The 25,407-nt window shown below is 35.8% G+C and overlaps 1 protein-coding gene across 1 annotated transcript in view, besides 1 other annotated feature; it reads left to right on the top strand.

Moving 5' to 3' along the window:
- The window catches only part of MMP16 (matrix metallopeptidase 16), a 295,473-nt gene that overhangs the window by 160,112 nt on the left and 109,954 nt on the right, over window positions 1-25,407 (top strand). The window lies entirely within an intron of this gene.
- Window positions 17,476-18,160: an enhancer, noted in NCBI's record as "H3K27ac-H3K4me1 hESC enhancer chr8:89161441-89162125 (GRCh37/hg19 assembly coordinates)". NCBI's record gives its function as "activates a minimal SCP1, AML or CMV promoter by ChIP-STARR-seq in naive H9 embryonic stem cells {active_cell/tissue: H9 hESC(naive)}" and the evidence as "EXISTENCE:reporter gene assay evidence [ECO:0000049][PMID:30033119]".

The raw sequence follows: 25,407 nt of genomic DNA, 5'->3' as shown, positions 1-25,407 counted from the left end.
TATTTAAGTCATGAAATACATATTAAGAAAATTCTGCTGTTTTTTTTGCATCTTATCCCAATGTTTCTACTTGTAATTTAATCCGGATTAGCATCTGCAGTCTGGCTTCTACTATATCTTTTCTACATTATTTTCTATTCTTTTTTGTTTGTTTGTTTTGAGATGAAGTTTTGCTCTTGTCGCCCAGGCTGGAGTGCAATGGCACAATTTCAGCTCACTGCAACCTCCACTTCCTCGGTTCAAGTGATTCTCCTACCTCAGCCTCCTGAGTAGCTGGGATTACAAGTGCCTGCCACCATGCCCAGCTAATTTTTGTATTTTTAGTAGAGATGGGGTTTCACCATGTTGGTCAGGCTGGTCTCTAACTCTCAGGAGGTGATCCACTCTCACGAGGTGATCCACCCACCTTGGAGTCACAAAGTGCTGGGGTTACAGGCATGAGCCACCACATTCAGCCTAGTTTCTATTCTATTATTAACTTTCCAGTCTATAATTTTTGCAGGCTGGGCGCAGTGGCTCACACCTGTAATCCCAACACTGTGAGAGGCCAAGACGGGATCCCTTGAGCTCAGGAGTTCAATACCAGCCTGGGTCTGTTTTTTAAACAAACTCCCTCTGTTTAAAAAAAATTAAAATTAAGAATATATATATATATATATATATATATATATATATATATATATGTAATTTTTTGCTCCTTCTCTTTTGTCTCTCATCCATTTCATTGGTCTCCCAATCTGATGGGACTATATAATTTATTATATTTTCATTACATCTTAATTTTTACCAAAGATCATTTTTTGCAACTCTATCCTAACTATCCATCAGTTTTCTAATCCTTACAATTATTCTGATATGCAAAAATTATGTAAAAATCAAAAATCTCAATAACTTTTAGTTACTTAATATGAGAGTGGTTACTTAATATAAGAGGCATGTGTTTCTTCCTAGTCAACAATGCATAATTCAATTCTGTGTTTTAAAAAATTTGCAGTTATAGGATCATAGAATTATAAGATTTCTATATAGCCATATCCCCAGTTTTTATTGTGAAGACTTATTTTTCTTCTGATTGTAGAATGTTATTCAACTATAAGTGTACATTTCTTTAATGACAACTAATCATGTAATAAAACTCTTAATTTCACCTTGATAAGTTAACCCTAGTCATGACATTAAGCTTTGTTTGTTCATAAGAGGGTTCAGTTAGCTGGATTAGTGTAATTAATAGCCTTGCAGTTTTAGGATACCCAGGGTTCTCTCGTGTTTTGGATAGGATAAATTAGGTTGAGTTAAATTTAAAATAACATCAATTTCAAAGAAAAAATATAATAAATAACTGTTCATGTTTTCCAAAATAAAATAAAGTATATAGCAGTAAGGTGATTTTTTCAAATGGTTATTAATAGTTGCATGTGCTGTATTATTAAATTGTTATTACATTTTTAAGAACAGGTTTGAAGACTAGTGGAAGATTTTAGTATAATAGAATGAAAAGCCAAAAACTTTGGAGGCAAACAGACTTATGTTTACATGCTGGCTAATTATTAGTTCAAAAATGTGTAGACTTGTTTTTACCATATAGTTTATATTGCAGGTCTGTAAGCATTGTAGGTAGAAGTGCTTTTTATGCATGCATGTTTAACGTACTCTATACCTGAGCATCTAATAATAAAACATCTGGAACATGGTAGTTGGGGCATACCAGTTTGACACATAAATCATTTAAAATAAAATATGTTTGTTTTGTTTTTTCAAAATCACACAGGGATTCTAGTGAAATAATTCAGACTTCTTCAAGTCAATTTTAAAATTATTTTAAATAATATAAGAAATGCTTGATTAAGAATAGCACTTATAATGGTAGAATTTTACTGACACAGGCTGCATTTACTTCCAGGGGAAAGATTTTCTTTTGATATTCTGAAAAGATAAAAATTTATTTTATTGCAATAATGGATCTAATCATTAAAACAATTGTAAATCTGTAGTTTTGAAGATGTGTTAATTTGGCTTTGTGACCTCTTAAATTTAAAATTATTAAAATCCTATATGAAAGAAATGTCTATCAAATTCCCTATATTTTGTCTTAAAATATTGAAGTCCTCCATGAAGAAGGTTGCATGGATTCTTTAGCTATACACTTTATTAGCTGGGTTTTTTCTTTCTTTCTTTTTTTTTTTTTTTTTTTTTAGAGATGGGGTTCTCGCTATTTTGCCCAGGCTGGACTTGAACTCTTGGGCTGAAGCAATCCTCCTACCTTAACTTCCTGAGTTGCTGGAATTACAGTATTACCTAGCTTTTAGGCATCAACCAACACTCTGAAAATAAAGAAAATGTTTTGGGGAAAAAATCTACAGGGAGATTTTATGACAAGAGGTGATAATGTTTACACTGATTTGAGTGTGATCAGTGCTTAGAATGCTTATGTGTTTTGTATGATTTAAGAATTTTTCCAAGGAATGTATATGTGGGAAGAAATTCTGAAATATAACGTGGCCTAAGGGGGACAATCACGTCAATGCACTTTTGGCTGAGAGTATTCATCAGTCTACTTCCGGATTATGTTAAATATGTGTCCTAACAACTCTGGAAGTGTAACATTCTTTACGCATAGACGAATGACCAAAAAATCTAAACAAAACAATTGTTTAATATTTGAGTTTTTATTTGGAGGAAACTATGTCTTTACCTGTCTAACAAGAACACTTTGCTGGTGAATGAGCCTGAAGGAAAGGACCCTGCAAAATAATAGTGTTTCAGAATTTCAAGAGATTAGGGAGACATTAATTGACTGTTAGAGATGTAATGCCAAAAAGATTTACTGCTTAATTGAAATTCAAACTTTTAACCAGCAACAGCAGGGCAGCTAGAGTAGTGTCAGGCTGAAGTATTGATCATTTATCAAAAGAACAGCCTCTATCTTTGCTTGTGGTACTGGTGGCTATGGGGAGAATTAATTCATTTGTACATCCTCGATTCTAACTATGTGTGAAACTATTTTTGTATCACAAATATGCATGGCACAAATCTGACATCTTCATGGATAAACTTTTTTTTTTTCTTTAATCTAGTCCTGGAATGCCCCCTGGCTTACTTACCTGAATTACTTTCTTTCTCTTCTATTCAGAGCTCTTGAGAGCTGGGAAACAGAACAGCTTGTTTATTTAGCAAAAATGCAAATGAAAGAGCCTCTTGATAAGTACCCAGCACATTTTCCACAGCACATTGCTCAGCTAATGAAGGCAATTTGCATTCTATCTACCTTAAAAGAGATAAACAGTGTCTTAGGCTGCCAGTAACCCTTACTTCATTGTTATCTACTTTCCTATCAATTTGCTAATAGTCATACCTTTTGAAAATTCTAGCTAAAGACCATTAAGTGAATTACAAAATAGTTTTATTAAAATAAACATATTCACACACACCTATATACACAACCCTAATACAAATAATGCCTTTTTTAAGAGTTTTTATTTTTGTGGAATGAATCAGCAAAACAGTTAACATCATTAACTATTTTAAAACATGCAAATTAATTCAAAATAGAAAATATGTATCATGATAGTGGTTTTGAAAGATATACATTGCCTGAATGAGACTTGGAAAATTTAAGTCCAGCAAAATGTTAAGATTTATTTTGAGCAACAATAGGACATTATTTCCTTGTCTATGGTTAAAGTTAAAATGGTGCTATCAATGTAAACACAAACATATCACAAAGATTCTTCCTAATTAGACAAGCATCTACAGAAGTAATATAATTTTAAACGGATACTCCAAGCAAAGCAGGTTATCTATTAAAATAATATATAAAACTTATGACAGAATAATATCTAGAGGTATATCCTATTTTACCACGTAGTTGCAATTCTTTAAAAAGAATACATTGCAGTTACGCTGCTTACTGTCAGGAAGTTCACTGCCTAACATAAGGAGATAACCAGGAAGGTTATCAACGCTGTGGTAGCAGGCTGTCAAAAAAACAAAAAGAGACAAATTATGATAAAGATGTCATCTGAGACATCAAAACCGTTAAATTAAATTCATCATTCACTGTGAAGTGATTGACATCTGCATCCAAACCCACTCATTCCTGAATACACCTAATTTAAGTTAAATGTGTTCATGGTGTGATACTTGAGTCAACGGACAGGACTTAAGCTGACCTTGGAGAGTTAGCTTTCTGTAACTGACATGTCCATTTGGTGCCATACTACAGAAAACACCTGTGTAGAAGTAAACCTAAGCCTTCAGCAGGTTTACGTCTGCACAGGTGTGCCTAAGGTTTGCCTTCCCAACCTTTCCTGCTCATTTTACAGCTGCACTGCTATATAATGTTTCTTAGAGGCCTACAAAATTTGAACTTTGATATTTGAGGAAAGAAAGAGGTAATACTGCATTAGTCTGTTCTCACACTGATATAAAGAACTACCTGAGACAAGAGAATGTATAAACAAAAGATATTTAATTGACTCACAGTTCTACATGCTGTATGGGAGACATGACTGGGGAGGCCTCAGTGAACTTAAAATCATGGTGGAAGGGCTAAGGGAAAGCAAGCACATCTACACATGGTGGGAGGACAGAGAGACAGAGAGTGAAGGGAAAGTGCTACACACTTTTCAACAACCAGATCTCGTTAGAACTCACTCACTATCACAAGAACAGCAAAGTGCAAATCTGCCCCAATGATCCAGTCACCTTCCACCAGGCCCCTCCTACAGTACTGAAGATCAGATACCAACTGGATATTTACGAAGATGCCTATCAGTCAGTACCACCAACTGTGGGAATACTGTCTAAATTCATCTATCCTCGAGTTTTTGAAAAGGGAAGGACTTGATATGGACAGTCAAGGACTTTAACTCATCCTTAAAGTAAGATAACTTATTAAGATTTTAAATTCTAAAAATATTAACTCTACTACATTTTTCTTATCAGGTTTTAAAACTGGAGAACGAACTCTCTCAATAATTCGGCTTTCACACCCATTACAGAGGATTTATATATGTTTGTTCTTAAAAACATGACTTTTTTCCTTTTTTCCTGGAATGAGCTTCATTTTACTGAGTCTATTTCATTTTACAACACTGGTAATCAAAAGTTTGATAGTACTGACTTTTTTAAAACCTTTCAGTTACATAGCCTTACATGATTACTGCGCAGTCTCTACTTGGTTATTAATTTTTAGATCCTTATGTGCAGTTGGAAAGTAGCAGAAAATTTGGTATAGTCACATTCACAAAAATATGTCACTATGTTAGTATTACAAAAACATATAAATGGATCATGAACATTAAAATGCATATAATATAGAGTTGTTAATAAAGGAAGGAGATGTATATTCATTCTTCTCAGCACCACATCACACTTATTCCAAAATTGACTATATAGTTGGAAGTAAAGCACTCATCAGCAAATGTAAAAGAACAGAAATTATAACAAACTGTCTCTCAGACCACAGCGCAATCAAACTAGAACTCAGGATTAAGAAACTCACTCAGAACCACTCAACTGCCTGGAAACTGAACAACCTGCTCCTGAATAGTGACTATTGGGTGCATAACGAAATGAAGGCAGAAATAAAGATGTTCTTTGAAACCAACGAGAACAAAGACACAACATACCAGAATCTCTGGGACACGTTTAAAGCAGTGTGTAGACGGAAATTTATAGCACTACATGCCCACGAGAGAAAGCAGGAAAGATCTAAAATTAACACCCTAACATCACAATTAAAAGAACTAGAGAAGCAAGAGCAAACACATTCAAAAGCTATCAGAAGGCAAGAAATAACTAAGATCAGAGAAGAACTGAAGGAAATAGAGACACAAAAAAACCCCTCAAAAAATTAATGAATCCAGGAGCTGGTTTTTTGAAAAGATCAACAAAATTGATAGACTGCTAGCAAGAGACTAATAAAGAAGAAAAGAGAGAAGAATCAAATAGACGCAATAAAAAAATGATAAAGGGGATGTCACCACTGATCCCACAGAAATACAAACTACCATCAGAGAATACTATAAACACCTCTACGCAAATAAACCAGAAAATCTAGAAGAAATGGATAAATTCCTGGACACATACACCGTCCCAAGACTAAACCAGGAAGAAGTTGAATCTCTGAATAGACCAGTAACAGGCTCTGAAATTCAGACAATAATTAATAGCCTACCAACCAAAAAAACTCCAGGACCAGACGGATTCACAGCCGAATTCTACCAGAGGTACAAGGAGGAGCTGGTACCATTCCTTCTGAAACTATTCTAATCAATAGAAAAAGAGGGAATCCTCCCTAACTCATTTTATGAGGCCAGCATCATCCTGATACCAAAGCCTGGCAGAGACACAACAAAAAAAGAGAATTTTAGACCAATATCCCTGATGAACATCGATGCAAAAATCCTCAATAAAATACTGGCAAACCTAATCCAGCAGCTCATCAAAAAGCTTATCCACCATGATCAAGTGGGCTTCATCCCAGGGATGCGAGGCTGGTTCAACATACACAAATCAATAAACGTAATAAACATACGTGTGCATGTGTCTTTATAGCAGCATGATTTATAGTCCTTTGGGTATATACCCAGTAATGGGATGGCTGGGTCAAATGGTATTTCTAGTTCTAGATCCCTGAGGAATCACCACACTGACTTCCACAATGGTTGAACTAGTTTATAGTCCCACCAACAGTGTAAAAGTGTTCCTATTTCTCCACATCCTCTCCAGCACCTGTTGTTTCCTGACTTTTTAATGATTGCCATTCTAACTGGTGCGAGGTGGTATCTCATCATGGTTTTGATTTGCATTTCTCTGATGGCCAGTGATGGTGAGCATTTTTTCATGTGTTTTTTGGCTACATAAATGTCTTCTTTTGAGAGGTGTCTGTTCATGTCCTTTGCCCACTTTTTGATGGGGTTGTTTGTTTTTTTCTTGTAAATTTATTGCGTCACTATTCACAATAGCAAAGACTTGGAACCAACCCAAATGTCCAACAATGATAGACTGGATTAAGAAAATGTGGCACATATACACCATGGAATACTATGCAGCCATAAAAAATGATGAGTTCATGTCCTTTGTAGGGACATGGATGAAATTGGAAATCATCATTCTCAGTAAACTATCGCAAGGACAAAAAACCAAACACCGCATGTTCTCACTCACAGGTGGGACTTGAGCAATGAGAACACATGTACACAGGAAGGGGAACATGACACTCTGGGAACTGTTGTGGGATTGGGGGAAGGGGGAGGGATAGCATTAGGAGATATACCTAATGCTAAATGACGAGTTAATGAGTGCAGCACATCAGCATGGCACATGTATACATATGTAACTAACCTGCACATTGTGCACATGTACCCTAAAATTTAAAGTGTAATAATAATAAAATAAAATAAAATAATTTGAAAAAAAAACAACAAATCAATAAACGTAATCCAGCATATAAACAGAACCAACGACGAAAACCGCATGATTATCTCAATAGATGCAGAAAAGGCCTTTGACAAAATTCAACAGCCCTTCATGCTAAAAACTCTCAAAAAATTAGGTATTGATGGGACGTATCTCAAAATAATAAGAGCTTTTTATGAGAAACCCACAGCCAACCTCATACTGAATGGGCAAAAACTAGAAGAATTCCCTTTGAAAACTGGCACAAGACAGGGATGCCCTCTCTCACCACTCCTATTCAACATAGTGTTGGAAGTTCTGGCCAGGGCAATCAGGCAGGAGAAAGAAATAAAGGGTATTCAATTAGGAAAAGAGGAAGTCAAATTGTCCCTGTTTGCAAATGACATGATTGTATATTTAGAAACCCCATAAGCAACTTCAGCAAAGCCTCAGGATACAAAATCAATGTGAAAAATCACAAGCATTCTTATATACCAATAACAGACAAACAGAGAGCCAAATCATGAGTGAACTCCCATTCACAATTGCTTCAAAGAGAATAAAATACCTAGGAATTCAACTTACAAGGGATGTGAAGGACCTCTTCAAGAACTACAAACCACTGCTCAAGGAAATAGAAGAGGACACAAACAAATGGAAGAACTTTCCATGCCCATGGATAGGAAGAATCAATATTGTGAAAATGGCCATACTGCCCAAGGTAATTTATAGATTCAATGCCATCCCCCTCAAGCTACCAATGACTTTCTTCACAGAATTGGAAAAAACTAGTTTAAAGTTCATATGGACCCAAAAGAGAGCCCACATTGCCAAGACAATCCTAAGCCAAAAGAACAAAGCTGGAGGCATCATGCTGCCTGACTTCAAACTATTCTACAAGGCTACAGTAACCAAAACAGCATGTTACTGGTACCAAAACAGAGATATAGACAAATGGAACAGAACAGAGCCCTCAGAAATAACACCACACATCTACAACCATCTAATCTTTGACAAACCTGACAAGAACAAGAAATGGGGAAAGGATTCCCTATTTAATAAATGGTGCTGGGAAAACTGGCTAGCCGTATATAGAAAGCTGAAACTGGATCCCTTCCTTACACCTTATACAAAAATTAAGTGAAGATGGATTAAAGACTTAAATGTTAGACCTAAAACCATACAAACCCTAGAAGAAAACCTAGGCAATACCATTCAGGACATAGGCATGGGCAAGGACTTCATGACTAAAACACCAAAAGCAATGGCAACAAAAGCCAAAATTGACAAATGGAATCTAATTAAACTAAAGAGCTTCTGCACAGCAAAAGAAACTACCATCAGAGTGAACAGGCAACCTACAGAATGGGAGAAAATTTTTGCAATCTACCCATCTGACAAAGGGCTAATATGCAGAATCTACAATGAACTCAAACAAATTTACAAGAAAAAAACAACCCCATCAAAAAGTGGGCAAAGGATATGAATCGACACTTCTCAAAAGAAGACATTTATGCAGCCAACAGACACATGAAAAAGTGCTCATCATCACTGGTCATCAGAGAAATGCAAATCAAAACCACGAGATACCATCTCACACCACTTAAAATGGCGATCATTAGAAAGTCAGGAAACAACAGGTGCTGGAGAGGATGTGGAGAAATAGGAACACTTTTACACTGTTGGTGGGAGTGTAAACTAGTTCAACCATTGTGGAAGACAGTGTGGCGATTCCTCAAGGATCTAGAACTAGAAATACCATTTGACCCAGCCATCCCATTACTGGGTATATACCCAAAGGACTATAAATCATGCTGCTATAAAGACACATGCACACGTATGTTTATTGTGGCACTATTCACAATAGCAAAGACTTGGAACCAACCCAAATGTCCAACAATGATAGACTGGATTAAGAAAATGGGGCACCTATACACCATGGAATACTATGCAGCCATAAAAAATGATGAGTTCATGTCCTTTGTAGGGACATGGATGAAGCAGGAAACCATCCTTCTCAGCAAACTATTGCAAGGACAAAAAACCAAACACTGCATGTTCTCACTTATAGGTGGGAATTGAACAATGAGAACACTTGGACACAGGAAGGGGAAAAATACACATCAGGGCCTGTCATGGGGTGGGGGGATGGGGGAGGCATAGCACTATGAGATATGCCTAATGTAAATGACGAGTTAATGGGTGCAGCACACCAACATGGCACACGTATACCTATGTAACAAACCTGCACATTGTGCACATGTACCCTAGAACTTAAAGTATAATAAAAAGATAAAATAAAATGAAGCAGATGAAACCAGAAATTCCTATGGCTTAACACAACTGATTTTATTTCTTGCCGCTGTGGTGGGATAGAGGAGCTCTGTCTAAACACTCTATCAGAGACACCAAGAATAATGAAGGCTTAGCATCAACACATGACTTCGGAAGTTGCCTCAGGTGTCAACATCCAGGCAGCAGTTGATAAATTTGCTCATGTAAGGGATTTATATGCCATCCCCTGGTATCTTTGGGGAACGGGAGGACTCCCTGCAGACACCGAGATGCACAGATGCTCAAGTCCCTTATATAAGATGGTTTAATATTTGCATATAACCTGTGCACATTCTCCTTTATGTTTTAAGTCATCTTTAGCCTACTTATACTACCTATAACAAGGTAAATGCTATGTAAATAGTGGTTATACTGTAATTTTTTAGAGAATAAGGGCAAGAGTTAAAGAGTCTGTACATATCTGGTACAGATGCAACCGTGTATTTTTTTTGTTCAAATATTTCAATCCATGGTTGATTGACTGCATAGATGCAAAAGCCATGGATAGGGAGGGCCAACTATTCTACTAAACTGTTCCATTTCTGCCCTGTTTGCACTAGAGTGCAATACTATGATCACATCTAATCACAAGGAAGGCAGGAGAAAGGTGACAGGTTTAATGAACAGCTAGTCCATGTCTGCTGCAACAATATGTTGAGAAGTAAATCAGTACTACTTGGATTTTATATATACATTGAATCTCTTGGTAAGTTGCTTAATCATAATTCATACATATTTTGCCCTATTATCCATTATTTAGCTACTGTTATTTCTCTTCTCTTACATAGTCTCTGTAGAAATTTTCCTTCTAATTCATCTTTAAATTGTTTTTGTCTTTAAATCTAGACATCAACAAGACAAAATGAAATCAAAGTTTCAAATTTCATCCCTTTATTTCAATATAGACAATGTCTTTAAGTTTCTGAAAAAAAAATCCAATTGGTCTGAATTAATGATTTAATAGCCTTATTGCTTAAATTATCTAAGATTAATAACAGCTTTTTACTTTAGTTTTGTAACTTTTTTTTGCAGAATTACAACCATACCACTATCAAACCTAACATACTACAATTTTAGTAAATTTCTTACAATGTAAACAACACTAGCTATTAACAACAACATTTAATTTATAACTCTCTTCTTTAGTTGAAATCAAGAATTGCCAGAACCCCCGCCCTCCTCCCTAAGTCTGTTGACTGCATATCATGGAAGCAGCAGAAATAGACCTTATTATAATCCACAGTGGAGATTGTAGCTTTGCCATTGATTTAATGCATCAGAAAAGAAGACTGTGGGCATAAGGAAGATTCCACCTCTGTTCAGTAAAGCTGTACGTACCAGATGCATGTGTCCTGAGCAATGGGAATTGACCTAAGACCATGGAATATCAGCTTGCTTTCCAGATTTTAATTGAAAAGATTATTTGACCAGCAAGTTAAAAAAAAGTAGAGAAAGTAGGAGATATTATAAAAAGCCTCTCTATGGGTTATCATCAGCCTTAATCAAAGATGCATAAAGAAGAAAACAATTAATAAAATCAAGTGCTAATTTAAGTGCACATTTAATATGTTCCAAACACAATTCTAAATTAATTTTGTGTATTTAACTCATTTATTCCTCATAACAAATTTGTAAAATAGTGTAATTACTTCCATTTTGCAAGGGAATTGAGGCAGAAAATTTGTTGACTTGCCTAAGGCTAGGTAGTCGTAATAACAGAATGATACCATTAAAAGGATACTGAAGAATCAAGGAAAAGGAACATCTACTTGAAGACTCAGGAATAAAAGGCTGTCACTGAAAGTATTTTATCAAGAAAACCAGAAAAACAATATTGGAAACAACTCAGAACATCCATTAAAAGCTTGCTATGGAACAGGAAACAAAAGCCTGTTATTACTGTACAAACTGAATCTGTCATGTGGAAGAAAATCTTGGTAAGCCATTTCTAGGAAAGTATGAAGAGATAAAATGATATGAAAGCCAAGGATAAAGAATAGATATTGAAGATCTGGTAAATAAATCCAGCTTAAGAATGCAAGATTCTCTCAAAGGATGGTGGAAGAGTAGGAAAATTAAAGCAAAATACATAAGCAAACAGATAATAGCAAAAATATCCAATTCTAAAATGAGACAGTAGTGTGCAATTCAGAACTCATTTTATTCACTGCAAAATTAATAAAATCAGATCCATAAATACATATATCCTGTAAGTAAAGAAAAAGATTCTTTATATCACTATGCAGGAAAAAAAATTATTCCCAAAGGACTAAAAAATAAAACTGTTGTTTTTACCCCTACTATGCAAATTTCTAGACAATAGAAGAAAATAGAAGACATAATATTTTGTATATATTCTAATTACATGCATGTCCTTTGCATTATTAAATTGTATCTGTAGTTTTAAAGTATTCCTTATAAATATTTGTTTTAGAAATCATGTGTCCTGAATTACACTTACTGTGATTTAGTAGTAACATAATATAAAGATAGAAACAAAATTTGGACCAAACATTCAGTATTTGTATAAAATGTGATGTTAACACAGAAGTCTGATATTATGTATTTTCACATACTCATCCTTCAACAAACATTTTGTTGATCATGCTATTATCAGATATTTGATAGAAACCTAGGGAAAGACTTAGCATTATGTAAAATTTAAATGAAAATATTAATGATCTATACTGCCATAAGAAAAGCAGAATTTTACAACCTAGAATAGATATATAATACACGTATTTCTTTTTTTTTTCTTTTTTTTTTTGTATTATACTTTAAGTTTTAGGGTACATGTGCACATTGTGCAGGTTAGTTACATATGTATACATGTGCCATGCTGGTGCGCTGCACCCACTAACTCGTCATCTAGCCTTAGGTATATCTCCCAATGCTATCCCTCCCCGCTCCCCCCACCCCACCACAGTCCCCAGAGTGTGATATTCCCCTTCATGTGTCCATGTGATCTCATTGTTCAATTCCCACCTATGAGTGAGAATATGCGGTGTTTGGTTTTTTGTTCTTGCGATAGTTAACTGAGAATGATGATTTCCAATTTCATCCATGTCCCTACAAAGGACATGAACTCATCATTTTTTATGGCTGCATAGTATTCCATGGTGTATATGTGCCCCATTTTCTTAATCCAGTCTATCATTGTTGGACATTTGGGTTGGTTCCAAGTCTTTGCTATTGTGAATAATGCCGCAATAAACATACGTGTGCATGTGTCTTTATAGCAGCATGATTTATAGTCCTTTGGGTATATACCCAGTAATGGGATGGCTGGGTCAAATGGTATTTCTAGTTCTAGATCCCTGAGGAAACGCCACACTGACTTCCACAATGGTTGAACTAGTTTACAGTCCCACCAACAGTGTAAAAGTGTTCCTATTTCTCCACATCCTCTCCAGCACCTGTTGTTTCCTGACTTTTTAATGATTGCCATTCTAACTGGTGTGAGATGATATCTCATAGTGGTTTTGATTTGCATTTCTCTGATGGCCAGTGATGATGAGCATTTTTTCATGTGTTTTTTGGCTGCATAAATGTCTTCTTTTGAGAAGTGTCTGTTCATGTCCTTTGCCCACTTTTTGATGGGGTTGTTTGTTTTTTTCTTGTAAATTTGTTTGAGTTCATTATAGATTCTGGATATTAGCCCTTTGTCAGATGAGTAGGTTGTGAAAATTTTCTACCATTTTGTAGGTTGCCTGTTCACTCTGATGGTAGTTTCTTTTGCTGTGCAGAGGCTCTTTAGTTTAATTAGATCCCATTTGTCACTTTTGGCTTTTGTTGCCATTGCTTTTGGTGTTTTGGACATGAAGTCCTTGCCCATGCCTATGTCCTGAATGGTAATGCCTAGGTTTTCTTCTAGGGTTTTTATGGTTTTAGGTCTAACGTTTAAATCTTTAATCCATCTTGAATTGATTTTTGTATAAGGTGTAAGGAAGGGATCCAGTTTCAGCTTTCTACATATGGCTAGCCAGTTTTCCCAGCACCATTTATTAAATAGGGAATCCTTTCCCCATTGCTTGTTTTTCTCAGGTTTGTCAAAGATCAGATAGTTGTAGGTGTGCGGTGTTATTTCTGAGGGCTCTGTTCTGTTCCATTGATCTATATCTCTGTTTTGGTACCAGTACCATGCTGTTTTGGTTCCTGTAGCCTTGTAGTATAGTTTGAAGTCATGTAGTGTGATGCCTCCAGCTTTGTTCTTTTGGCTTAGGGTTGACTTGGTGATGCGGGCTCTTTTTTGGTTCCATATGAACTTTAAAGTAGTTTTTTCCAATTCTGTGAAGAAAGTCATTGGTAGCTTGATGGGGACGGCATTGAATCTGTAAATTACCTTGGGCAGTATGGCCATTTTCACTATATTGATTCTTCCTACCCATGAGCATGGAATGTTCTTCCATTTGTTTGTATCCTCTTTTATTTCCTTGAGCAGTGATTTGTAGTTCTCCTTGAAGAGGTCCTTCACATCCCTTGTAAGTTGGATTCCTAGGTATTTTATTCTCTTTGAAGCAATTGTGAATGGGAGTTCACTCATGATTTGGCTCTCTGTTTGTCTGTTGCTGGTGTATAAGAATGCTTGTGATTTTTGTACATTGATTTTGTATCCTGAGACTTTGCTGAAGTTGCTTATCAGCTTAAGGAGATTTTGGGCTGAGACGATGGGGTTTTCTAGATAAACAATCATGTCGTCTGCAAACAGGGACAATTTGACTTCCTCTTTTCCTAATTGAATACCCTTTATTTCCTTCTCCTGCCTGATTGCCCTGGCCAGAACTTCCAACACTATGTTGAATAGGAGCAGTGAGAGAGGGCATCCCTGTCTTGTGCCAGTTTTCAAAGGGAATGCTTCCAGTTTTTGCCCATTCAGTATGATATTGGCTGTGGGTTTGTCATAGATAGCTCTTATTATTTTGAAATACGTCCCATGAATACCTAATTTATTGAGAGTTTTTAGCATGAAGGGTTGTTGAATTTTGTCAAAGGCTTTTTCTGCATCTATTGAGATAATCATGTGGTTTTTGTCTTTGGCTCTGTTTATATGCTGGATTACATTTATTGATTTGCGTATATTGAACCAGCCTTGCATCCCAGGGATGAAGCCCACTTGATCATGGTGGATAAGCTTTTTGATGTGCTGCTGGATTCGGTTTGCCAGTATTTTATTGAGGATTTTTGCATCAATGTTCATCAAGGATATTGGTCTAAAATTCTCTTTTTTGGTTGTGTCTCTGCCCAGCTTTGGTATCAGAATGATGCTGGCCTCATAAAATGAGTTAGGGAGGAGTCCCTCTTTTTCTATTGATTGGAATAGTTTCAGAAGGAATGGTACCAGTTCCTCCTTGTACCTCTGGTAGAATTCGGCTGTGAATCCATCTGGTCCTGGACTCTTTTTGGTTGGTAAACTATTGATTATTGCCCCAATTTCAGCTCCTGTTATTGGTCTATTCAGAGATTCAACTTCTTCCTGGTTTAGTCTTGGGAGAGTGTATGTGTCGAGGAATGTATCCATTTCTTCTAGATTTTCTAGTTTATTTGCGTAGAGGTGTTTGTAGTATTCTCTGATGGTAGTTTGTATTTCTGTGGGATCAGTGGTGATATCCCCTTTATCATTTTTTATTGTGTCTATTTGATTCTTCTCTCTTTTTTTCTTTATTAGTCTTCCTAGCGGTCTATCAATTTTGTTGATCCTTTCAAAAAACCAGCTCCTGGATTCATTGATTTTTTGAAGGGTTTTTTGTGTCTCTATTTCCTTCAGTTCTGCTCTGATTTTAGTTATTTCTTGCCTTCTGCTAGCTTTTGAATGTGTTTGCTCTTGCTTTTCTAGTTCTTTTAATTGTGATGTTAGGGTGTCAATTTTGGATCTTTCCTGCTTTCTCTCGTGGGCATTCAGTGCTATAAATTTCCCTCTACACACTGCTTTGAATGCATCCCAGAGATTCTGGTATGTTGTGTCTTTGTTCTCGTTGGTTTCAAAGAACATCTTTATTTCTGCCTTCATTTCGTTATGTACCCAGTAGTCATTCAGGAGCAGGTTGTTCAGTTTCCATGTAGTTGAGCGGCTTTGAGTGAGATTCTTAATCCTGAGTTCTAGTTTGATTGCACTGTGGTCTGAGAGATAGTTTGTTATAATTTCTGTTCTTTTACATTTGCTGAGGAGTGCTTTACTTCCAACTATGTGGTCAATTTTGGAATAGGTGTGGTGTGGTGCTGAAAAGAATGTATATTCTGTTGATTTGGGGTGGAGAGTTCTGTAGATGTCTATTAGGTCCGCTTGGTACAGAGCTGAGTTCAATTCCTGGGTATCCTTGTTGACTTTCTGTCTGGTTGATCTGTCTAATGTTGACAGTGGGGTGTTAAAGTCTCCCATTATTAATGTGTGGGAGTCTAAGTCTCTTTGTAGGTCACTCAGGACTTGCTTTATGAATCTGGGTGCTCCTGTATTGGGTGCATATATATTTAGGATAGTTAGCTCCTCTTGTTGAATTGATCCCTTTACCATTATGTAATGGCCTTCTTTGTCTCTTTTGATCTTTGTTGGTTTAAAGTCTGTTTTATCAGAGACTAGGATTGCAACCCCTGCCTTTTTTTGTTTTCCATTTGCTTGGTAGATCTTCCTCCATCCTTTTATTTTGAACCTATGTGTGTCTCTGCACGTGAGATGGGTTTCCTGAATACAGCACACTGATGGGTCTTGACTCTTTATCCAACTTGCCAGTCTGTGTCTTTTAATTGGAGCATTTAGTCCATTTACATTTAAAGTTAATATTGTTATGTGTGAATTTGATCCTGTCATTATGATGTTAGCTGGTGATTTTGCTCGTTAGTTGATGCAGTTTCTTCCTAGCATCGATGGTCTTTACATTTTGGCATGATTTTGCAGCGGCTGGTACCGGTTGTTCCTTTCCATGTTTAGCGCTTCCTTCAGGAGCTCTTTTAGGGCAGGCCTGGTGGTGACAAAATCTCTCAGCATTTGCTTGTCTGTAAAGTATTTTATTTCTCCTTCACTTATGAAGCTTAGTTTGGCTGGATATGAAATTCTGGGTTGAAAATTCTTTTCTTTAAGAATGTTGAATATTGGCCCCCACTCTCTTCTGGCTTGTAGGGTTTCTGCCGAGAGATCCGCTGTTAGTCTGATGGGCTTCCCTTTGAGGGTAACCCGACCTTTCTCTCTGGCTGCCCTTAACATTTTTTCCTTCATTTCAACTTTGGTGAATCTGACAATGATGTGTCTTGGAGTTGCTCTTCTCGAGGAGTATCTTTGTGGCGTTCTCTGTATTTCCTGAATCTGAACGTTGGCCTGCCTTGCTAGATTGGGGAAGTTCTCCTGGATAATATCCTGTAGAGTGTTTTCCAACTTGGTTCCATTCTCCGCATCACTTTCAGGTACACCAATCAGACGTAGATTTGGTCTTTTCACATAGTCCCATATTTCTTGGAGGCTTTGCTCATTTCTTTTTATTCTTTTTTCTCTAACCTTCCCTTCTCGCTTCATTTCATTCATTTCATCTTCCATTGCTGATACCCTTTCTTCCAGTTGATCGCATCGGCTCCTGAGGCTTCTGCATTCTTCACGTAGTTCTCGAGCCTTGGTTTTCAGCTCCATCAGCTCCTTTAAGCACTTCTCTGTATTGGTTATTCTAGTTATACATTCTTCTAAATTTTTTTCAAAGTTTTCAACTTCTTTGCCTTTGGTTTGAATGTCCTCCCGTAGCTCAGAGTAATTTGATCGTCTGAAGCCTTCTTCTCTCAGCTCATCAAAGTCATTCTCCATCCAGCTTTGTTCCGTTGCTGGTGAGGAACTGCGTTCCTTTGGAGGAGGAGAGGCGCTCTGCTTTTTAGAGTTTCCAGTTTTTCTGTTCTGTTTTTTCCCCCATCTTTGTGGTTTTATCTACTTTTGGTCTTTGATGATGGTGATGTACAGATGGGTTTTTGGTGTGGATGTCCTTTCTGTTTGTTAGTTTTCCTTCTAACAGACAGCACCCTCAGCTGCAGGTCTGTTGGAATACCCTGCCGTGTGAGGTGTCAGTGTGCCCCTGCTGGGGGGTGCCTCCCAGTTAGGCTGCTCGGGGGTCAGGGGTCAGGGACCCACTTGAGGAGGCAGTCCCCCCGTTCTCAGATCTCCAGCCGCGTGCTGGGAGAACCACTGCTCTCTTCAAAGCTGTCAGACAGGGACATTTAAGTCTGCAGAGGTTACTGCTGTCTTTTTGTTTGTCTGTGCCCTGCCCCCAGAGGTGGAGCCTACAGAGGCAGGCAGGCCTCCTTGAGCTGTGGTGGGCTCCACCCAGTTCGAGGTTCCCGGCTGCTTTGTTTACCTAAGCAAGCCTGGGCAATGGCGGGCGCCCCTCACCCAGCCTCGCTGCCGCCTTGCAGTTTGATCTCAGACTGCTGTGCTAGCAATCAGCGAGATTCCGTGGGTGTAGGACCCTCCGAGCCAGGTGTGGGATATGGTTTCGTGGTGCGCCGTTTTTTAAGCCCGTCTGAAAAGCGCAATATTCGGGTGGGAGTGACCCGATTTTCCAGGTGCGTCCGTCACCCCTTTCTTTGACTCAGAAAGGGAACTCCCTGACCCCTTGCGCTTCCCAGGTGAGGCAATGCCTCGCCCTGCTTTGGCTCGCGCCCGGTGCGCGCACCCACTGGCCTGCGCCCACTGTCTGGCACTCCCTAATGAGATGAACCCGGTACCTCAGATGGAAATGCAGAAATCACCCGTCTTCTGCGTCGCTCACGCTGGGAGCTGTAGACCGGAGCTGTTCCTATTCGGCCATCTTGGCTCCTCCCCATAATACACGTATTTCTGATACTGATTTTAACAAGTAACATGTAGAGATTTTAAAAGAAAACTCTTGGAATGGTTACTTTTGGAAGACAAAATATTCCAGAGATTCTTCTTACTACTAAAGAAATAGATAAGCAATAATGTACAATTTTTATTGAATATTTTGACATCACATTCAGTAAGGATATCTCCAAATGATCAGTAAAACAGTGAGCTAAAACTAGAGTTTTGAGTGGTGAGCGTGTGTGAAATGCAGAGACCAAACCTTAGTTCAAGGGCAAGGTGAGCAAATTGAATCTGAAGCTCCCGCGTTAAAATACTGCACTTGGATGTGGACAAAATGATACACATACATACACAGCTCCCTGCATAAGCAAATATGTATCCTCTAGAGGAAACATACTGCATTTAGGCACCCAGCTATTTTCACCGGTGGCTATCATGCAAATAGAAGTTTAGGAGCAAAGATCACTAACACTGAAGGAAACATTATCATGAATGAGAATCAGCTCTAAACAATAGATTAATCTCCAGGATTTCAGATACTGAATTTATGAAATTAAGATACATAATATTAAAATAGGATATCTTTTAAAACTTCAATGCAGGATGTCTTTAAAAAGGAAAAAATGGAATCACAGAATTGAGCAGACATCAAGTGACTATGAAAAGGAACCAAGAAGAGCTGAGAAACAGAACCTTAGAAATGCAATAGTAAGAATAAAATGTAATCATAACAATTAAATTGAATAGCAGGCTAGGATTGGTTGAAAAAATATTTTGTGAACAAAAGGATAGATTTGCAGATAGTAAATCTGCAATTTGCAGTATAGAGAGTAAAAAAGATAGGAAATGTGAAAGGTTAGGAGATACGGAAAATAGTACAAAATGATGTAATATAATACAATTGGAGTCCCAGAAGGAGAAAACGGGGGAAAGAGTATGCAAAGTGCAAAGTATACTTGTTGATAATTATCTAGAAGTAAAAATATGAATCCACATATAGAGGAAGCTCAATATATTCAAAGCAGCATAAACTAGGGGCGTGCATGCACACACACACACACACACACAAACACATATTTTATAGTAACTACTGTGGACCAAAGAGAGGATTTTTCCAAACCAACAGATAGAAAAGACTCATTAGGTACAATTTCACAGGAAACTCCCATAGTCACTGGAGAGTCAAGAAGACAGTGGCATATATTCAAATGCCAAAAGAAAATAACTCAACCTAGAATTACCCAGCAAAACTCTTTCCAAGGTTAGGATGAAATGAAAAAAAAGTATAAAAAGTGAGGCAGTTGACCATTCACTTAACAGTTCTTCACAAATTTCTGAGACATGAAGTATAAGGAGAAAGAAAAGATTCCTAGAAAAAAACTTAGATGAAATAATATTGATGAAAGAAAGTAATAAACATTGCATGCACACATTAATAACAATGTGTAATCTGTGTAACTAAAAAGAAAAGTTTATTGGATAATAATAGCATGTAAACCATAAAACATGAGAATTAAAATATTCTCAGATCCTTATATTATTTTAGCGTTAAGGAATTAATTTTTTACTATGTTAAGTGGGCATAGTAAATCTTCAAGGATAACCGATAGTAGAGGAGGTAACAATAGAAGAAAACCAAAATAAATTTAAAATTGCATCAGAAAAAACTATAGTTTTTAGAAAGATGGAAATTATAGCATAAGAAAGCAAGTAAAGTGATCAGGTGATAATATAATTTTAAAATTTCAAACATATCAGTAACCACAATGAATATAATTGAACTAAACTTGCCACTTACAAAGTAAAGTTGTTGTAATAAATTAAAATTCTACTATCTGTAGTTTATAATAATTTATATACAAAATGTTATAGCAAGTGACAGTGAAGATGTGAATCAGCAAGAACATTTATACCTGCTATATAGGAGTATAAATTGTTCAAACAGTTGGGGAAAAATTTGGAGTATAAATTGTTCAAACAGTTGGGGAAAAGTTTGGCAAAAACCTAATAAAATTGAACATTTACATAAATATTTACCAAATAGTTTTTTTTTTTATTTTGGTTTATTGACATTCTAAAGAAAGCCTTGCCCCTGTACGTTAGTACATATATACCAGAATGTTTTCATGCCATAATTGCTTTTAATAGCCAAAAAAAGAAGTATCATTTAAATGTTCCTAGAATGAATATATAAAATTCTTATTTATTTACAAATACTAAGTGTACACAGAAATATAGTACTATGGTTGCAAGCAACAATCTAGATGAATTTTACAAACAACAATGAGTGAATAGGGCAAATTGCAAAAGACTAGATACAATATGATGACATTTTTTCTAAGGTTCAAAAACAAAATATATGTTCCATGTGGATATAGGCATATAAATGTGCTTTTCGAAACAGCAAAGGATACCACAAATTTTGGGATAGTGATTAGTTTTGAGGGAGGTAGAAGAGTAGAATAAGGACAAAAATACATGAGTAGATGTAAAGGAGTCGGCAATATTCTGTTTTCAAGTTGGGATGGCAGATTTTCAGATGCATGTTATTATTATGTTTTATAATTTACATATAAGGTATATTTTGCTGTATGTATCTAATTATAATTACTAATATCATAGAGTCTTGCTGAGCATATTGAACCCAAAAATATTTTATCTTAACTGAATTTTACCCATCACATTGAATTGAAGTTTTCATGCAAAAAGGAGCATTTGAATTGAGAATTGAAAGAAAAGTGTAATTTTGACAAAGAGAAATGGGAAGAAAGAAATGTTAAGGCAAAAGAACTATATGGGAAAGATGATATTAAAAATGATTAGGAATGTTTGTCTAGAACCGCATTTCTCAACCTCAGCACTATTGGTGTTTTGGAACAGATAATTCATTGTTGGGGTAGGAAGAGAGATGTTCCTATACATTACAGGCTTGATGTTTAGCAATATTCCTGGCCTCTATCCATAGATACTGGTAGCATTTCTGAATTACAACAACCAAATATCTTCAGTCTTTTCTAACTGTCCCCTAGGAGGTAAAATCATCCTCAGTTGAGAATCACTGGTCTAGAAGACAAGGTAATTAAGAGTGAATAGTAGTAATAACATGAAGACTAAGAAGATTGCTTTTATCCCATTTGTTGAAGTTAGTTAGTGACGTGCTAATGAGGTTGTATTTCTCTTAGGGCCCATTGGAATCTACTAAATGCTTTTCAACAAGGGAATAAAATGAGTATGCCTATAATTTAAAATATTTTACCCATGTTGCAGGATATGAGATCTATTAAGGTGTAAAATATGAGGGTTCAGTATGAACCTGTTCTGAGCTTATTTCTCTATTGAAATTGTTTTATGGCCTTTTTTCGATATTATCTCCCATACTATTACTATTATTTATTTCAAAATGTATATAGTCATGTGACACATAATTGTATTTTGGACAATGATGGCCCTTACATATGATAATGTTCCCATAAGATTATAATACCATTTTTTCCTGTACCTTTTCTTTCTTTAGATATGTTAATGTAGATACACAAATATTTATAATTGTGTTACAGTTACCTACAGTTTTCAGCACAGGAACATGGCTGTTCAGGTTTGTAGCCTAGGAGCAACAGGCTATACCATATAGCCTAGGTGTGTAGTAAGCTCTACCATCTAGGTTTGTGTAAGTCCACTTTAATGTTGGGACAATGACAAAATCACCTAATACATTTCTTGGAGCCTATCCCCATCATTAACTGACATGTGACTGTTCTAGAGACTTATGGGGTATTAAAAATAGAATAGTGTTTGAAGACACTCTACAGGCAATTGCGGGTTTTATTTAAATTAGATTATTCTACAAAATAAAACATATATAAGCATACGTAAGAAGCAATTTTTTAACTGCAGGAATTGACTTATTCAGTGAGAAAATTCTGTTAACTCCATCTGACCCAAGAGCAAGAACTCTTCCTGACTTCTCTGTAGCAATTGTATTTCATGTTTGTTAAACTCACCACTTACAGGTTTTTAAAAATTGTGATGTCTTAAATTGTATCTTGGATATATTGAATTTTAAATTTGCTCATTCATAACAGAAAAAAACTTGTTTTTTATTTAACACTGAGTTATTCAATTTCAGAGTTGAAAAAGTTGTTTCATATAGTATAGTATTGAAGAAGAAATCTCAAAATAATAACTTAATTCCAATTACTCTTACCTTATTTTTACATATATAAAATGGAACTTTATTATTTTCCCATATTATATTAGTCTCTCTCTATATAAATTATCCAATCTAAATTTGCTAAAATTAGATAAAAGTCTCTAATTTTTTCATTTTAATTTTTTAAACCAGACTTTATTATTTTTTCCCTTCATAATATACATTATCCAGATACATACACACACATATACATATATACCTATACAGGATACTTCATATCATGTATAAATTAAACAAAAATTTTAAATATTGTAATTTAGGTTATTTTTTAGAGTAAAATTGGCACTTTGTTAGAACTTTCTTTTTGTATGCCAACTGCCTGATTTTTTATAGCCACCTAAAAAATTTAATTTTGTTATTAAATGTCTGTTGGATAGAATATTAGATCAAGAAAACGGCATCATTTAGCTCTGGTATGTTTACTCATTCGGGACAGTGACGAAGGAAATACTAACAAGAAAATGCATTTGTATGCATATTAAGTACTTTTTAATGATTATACATTAAACCAGAGTCAATAGCCCCTGTTTAAAGTGAAAGTTTTTTACCTATAAAAGCTTTTTATTTAGAGCTTGTTTTGAGGTAGTGATTTTACTGGCACAGTTTATTGACAAAATTTTAGCCAGATGACAGGGATTAATGGTTTTTATCTAATGGAAACGTTGGAGAAATGTACATTTCTCTTATGTATGTTATTTCTTAGGAAGATGATTCAGAGAAATTAAATTGGGTATAATTTAAACTTTTTAGACTTAAGTTTCCAATCTGATTCCTGGCCTCAGTAAATAACAATGCATCTTAATTTACTAATATTGAAATCAGTTTATTTAGTTATATTTGTAGGTCTTTTCTACCTCTTAATTTCAGTTATTGTTTCTGTATGAATTTCTGCCTTAAAAACAATGACTGCATTTTATGCCCACTTCCTTCCATCATAAACTCCTGTTCAGTCCCTCAAGACCCTTATCTAATCAACCTAAAATCTTTTCCTAATCACTTTCTCCTTATAACTTTACACCTTCCTTTGCAAGTTTGTGGCATGCAAGATATATAGCACGTTTCCTTGACTATCTTAAGAACATAATGAATTCTTATGCAATAAATAAAATCAAACTAGAGGTGATGTACTTTACAGAATAAACTTTTAGACAGAATAGATTATAAGTTTTGCATTTGCTCAATATATCTAAAACAATGATTTTACTCAAGTAGTAGAAGGACTTCAAGTAGAACTCTTCACACTTTATGCTGAAGATACGGAAGAAAATAAAAGAGTCTTTGAGAAAGCATTGGGAAACACTTCTCTTTATCTAGGTTTATTATCAACTTATATAATTTAATCTTAACTAACCTAAATTGCCATGATTTATTTATAGCATACCAAAATGTATTTACTTCATTTTCCTAAATAGCCTCAACCTCTTATTTCTGTGGTACCACTCTGAGTACCACCACCCTTCCTATTCAGATTGACCCAGATATGTGATGTTAATTTACCGAGATATTTTAAATTCAAGACAATGCAGTCTGATGCAGTCTGATGCCTGCCTTGTTCTTTTTAGATTTGACATAATGGGCTCTGTCAAAATCTTTCTTCTTCAAAAATACCGATCTAGGCAGATACCCACTCTGATATATCTATATCCATACATCTCCATTTCATACAGATGAGGGACAAAATGATTATTAGTCTTCAGATAAAGACTTGCTATTTTTCTCAATGCTGATATCACATCTATTGACAATAGAACAATCGAGAATTAATTCTTCTGTATTTAACATCCCTTAAACTGACCAAGCCTTTGTTTTTCTTTTTTAACGTGTAGGGTGGGGAAGATAGTGGTAGTTGAAAAGGATACAATCACCATTTAAACAAGTTAAATATGACAATCCACCTACTTCAATACCTGGTAAATAATAAATATTAAAATAAATATTAAAACAGTTTATTTCCTGGTAACTACAGTGCCAACTGCACATTTTGATTTATCATTAAACCCATAATTTCTAGTAAATCTTTCACTGTAATATGGTTTATAATATTTTTAATCATATAAACAATATCTTTGTGTAAATTTTTTTAAAACTGGAAGTTAGAAAATTATTAAAATCTTTAAGACTTTCACTCAAAGATAACCACTGCAGGTCTGATAAATTTAATCACTTTCCTCAGTAGATATATATTAATTACTAGATAAAGCAGAGATGTAAATCTGGGCAGCTATATGTACAATTGTTGTGTATTGTTCATAATTTTAAAATATGTCTAATGACTAATATATAGCTTTAAAATATGTCTGATGACTAATATCTAATGAGTCATAATATTCTGGCATGTGATTGAATATAATAGGATTATTTTAATGGTGAAAATTCAGGTTATCTCTAATTTTAGCTCTTAGATATACTGTAATGAACGTATTTATGGCCGGGCATGGTGGCTCACGCCTGTAATCCTAGCACTTTGGGAGACTGAGGCGAGCGGATTGCCTGAGCTCAGGAGTTCAAGACCAGCCTGGGCAACATGGTAAAACCCCATCTCTACTAAAATACAAAAAAAAAAATTAGCTGTGCGCCTAAGTCCCAGCTACTTGGGAGGCTGAGACAGGAGAATTGCTTGAACCCAGGAGGTGGAGGTTGCAGCAGTGAGCTGAGATGGTGCCACTGCACT

This window comes from Homo sapiens, chromosome 8, assembly GCF_000001405.40.
Source record: "Homo sapiens chromosome 8, GRCh38.p14 Primary Assembly".
Taxonomy (NCBI): domain Eukaryota; kingdom Metazoa; phylum Chordata; class Mammalia; order Primates; family Hominidae; genus Homo; species Homo sapiens.
This window is presented reverse-complemented; position numbering and strand designations above follow the sequence as displayed.